The sequence below is a fragment of the Homo sapiens genome, chromosome 14 (genome assembly GCF_000001405.40).
Source record: "Homo sapiens chromosome 14, GRCh38.p14 Primary Assembly".
Classification (NCBI taxonomy): domain Eukaryota; kingdom Metazoa; phylum Chordata; class Mammalia; order Primates; family Hominidae; genus Homo; species Homo sapiens.
This window is the reverse complement of record NC_000014.9, coordinates 43,143,703-43,146,987: the sequence shown is the minus strand read 5'-3', so window position 1 is coordinate 43,146,987 and position 3,285 is coordinate 43,143,703.

Sequence of the window (3,285 nt, the reverse complement as noted above, 5' to 3'; positions counted from 1 at the left end):
CATCTTATAACCTGTAAAGAGATGTTATCCAATTTTCTAAAACTCCACAATTTTCATAACCCAGGGATGCAATGAAGAATTCATAATGTTTAAAGGAATGAATGATGGGATCATAAAAAAGGATAAAATAAATTTTACTTAAAGGAAATAGAGGAGTACATTTGCTGGTGTTCTCTATTATTCTGTGAACATCACTGAATTTGTGTAAGATATATAGCAAAAGACAGTAGGATAGAGTGGAGGCCTATGCTTTCCACAAAGTAAATTTACTGTTTTGGTGAATTATTTTAAAAGGAAACCACCAAAGATGAAGTTAGTAAATAAAGCCTCCAAAGGAAATAAAGAAGGCATCTCTTCGTATTATGTATGATTGAGTTTCAAGGTACTAATATTCTAGGTACTAATATTCTAAGTATTATTTTCTTAACTGAAATTACGCTAATACCCTGATATCATTCATTCATTACATGATTAGAAATAATGTTCTTATTGCCTACCAAATGACAGAAATACTAACAAGAACTGAAATTATAAACAGGACACATTTTAGAAATATCTTATAAATTACAGAGTTAAATTAAAATTTATTTTTTAAATTATGGAAATCCTTTGCATCTTTAGTAAAATAAAATTTAATATTATTTTATTATGCTTTGTTTAAAGATGTCCTCTGTTATTTTGTTTCTGCTTCTACCAAAACTTTAAAATAAAAAAGATATTCCAAATGAAAATAATTGAAGGCAATAAAAATAGCTGAATATTTAAAATATGTTTTGTACATTTTCCTGGAATAGATATGTTCAAATAAAAATATAAAATCTTAAGAGCTAATTATCCCTTATTACACTTATTACAAAACAGGTCAATGACATTCTTTCTGGGACAAAATAAAACAATGTAAAAATGTAGATATTTCTCTATGTGAGTTATAAAATCAAACATTCTAATACTTTCATACTTGACTGTGTATCTTTCTCTGCTTTCTACCCTAACTATTCTCAAATAATGAATCAACTAAATTCATACTGAAACCTAGATAAGGTGAAAATTCCTTGAAGAAATAATCGTTGAACTTTGAGGAAAATTCTGAGTGTAAAACATAAACTTTTCACAAAATATGATATTAAAGAGAAGAATAGTATATGTTCTGTTGTCATTATCAAAGGGTCATATTCTTTCTCTTTCCCTCTATCAGTCTTAATATATTCCTATAGATTAAACTGCCAACCTAAAACCACATAACTAGGATAAGTATTAAATAAAATTAAAATGGTTATTGACTAATTAATTATATCTATGTTATATAAATATTTCCTGAGAGATGTTACAGTATATTCGTACCTGACATATGCTATTGGAATAACACATTAAATCTATTAAAATCTGTGTTAGTCATCTAACTTGGGACTGGAAATATTTTGCTCAATTTCTTAAACATTACTCTCAACTGCATGTCTGACTCAATATCACGTAACAAGGCAAAATAAACAAAATAATTTAGGAGTAAAATCTATTCTTTAACATTTATTCAGGGCTGTGACTTTACACCAGTGTTTTCCAAGAAAACTGTCTTAAGTGGCTTAAATGTTCCATACCTGCATTGTCCAAAGAAGTAATCTTTACACACATATGGCTATATATTCATTGAAATATAGTTAATGTAGTTAAATAATTGAATTTATAATTTTTAAAACTGTTAATTAAAATTTAAGTTGCAACATTTTGTGTGTATCTACCTTACTGGACAGCGTAGCTGGAGTCCTCTTAGTAAAGTGGGGTTTTTTTCTCGTTTTTGTTGTCTTTAAATTTTACCATAACCTTTGGTAAATAAAGACATATTTTTAGAACTGTATGCCTATATGCAGGCATACAAAGCCTCTAGATCTATTTATAAATATAGACATAAATACAAATATATAGAAAAATTTTTAAGTTTAGTAAAAGTAATTCTTACACGTACTTTACTTCATGGTCTCAATCCTAGTCTTCTCTATTCCACATTATTCTACTTATTTCTTCTCTAGGATCACATCAAGATTTCTTCTACATAAGAGTTTGGTATGTACTGTTTCTGCTACCAGTAATGCTTTTATAAACCTATCACCACATGCCTTTTTTTTCTTTTCAGCATCAGGATAGACACAGCTTTCTTTTGTCTTTTTTCAGAAATGACTTCAAGTACCTTTGCTGAAGTATCACACACACAAAAAACACATCACCCTGGCCCTTTATTTTCCATTACCCAGTTTTATTTGTGTCATAACGATATCAAGTATATAAAATTGTCTTATTTGGCTCTTTACATGTTTCTCACCTTTATTGCCAATAATTAAGAGTTATAAAAAGCTCTTTTATTATTCACTGTCAAAATTCTCTTTACTTTTAATTTAAAAATCTTTGCTATTATAAATGAGTAAATAAGCTAAGAATTGAATTATGTATTTAATCAATTCTATGATCTACATTAGTAAATATCTTGATAGTTTGTTATAAAGACCAGTAAGCCAAGAGGTTTGGCTAAAGGCTGATGAATGTTTAACTGAAATGTCTTATGCAACTAATGTAGACGCTATACGAAAAAAGGAGGTATAATAATTGGCAAAAGCAAGGGCTTTTGTAGTTTTCAAAATATTAAAAATGGGCTGGGCGCAGTGGCTCACACCTGTAATCCCAGCCCTTTGGGAGGCCGAGGCAGGCGGATCACCTGAGGTTGGAGTTCGAGACCAGCCTGACCAACGTGGAGAAATCCAGTCTCTACTAAAAATACAAAATTAGCCAGGCATGGTGGTGCATGTCTGTAATCCCAGCTACTTGGGAGGCTGAGGCAAGAGAATCACTTGAACCCTGGAGGTGGAGGTTGCAGTGAGCCGAGATTGCGCCATTGCACTCCAGCCTGGGAAACAAGAGTGAAACCCTGTCTCAAAAAGACAAAGAAAAAAAAAAAAAAAATATATATATATATATATATATAAAATGTCCAAAGTACATTTTGTGATTCTTATCTTAAATATTCTTTAACATTACTGTTAATGTTAAAATGCATTGATATTGTGGTTTACTACTTCAACATGTAATTTCCAAACATTCGCATTGTCCTATGCATCTAACATATATTTTCTTGAATCTATATTGTCTATTTTAAAGGAAAAATTTCAAAGAATATATACAAGTGTTGGACTAGTGACAGCTTCAGCATTACTAGCATAACAGTGACAAATGTACGAAGTAGCTCTAGGATATTGGCCAAATATACCTTATATTTTATAAAAATTTATTTTCTTTCAC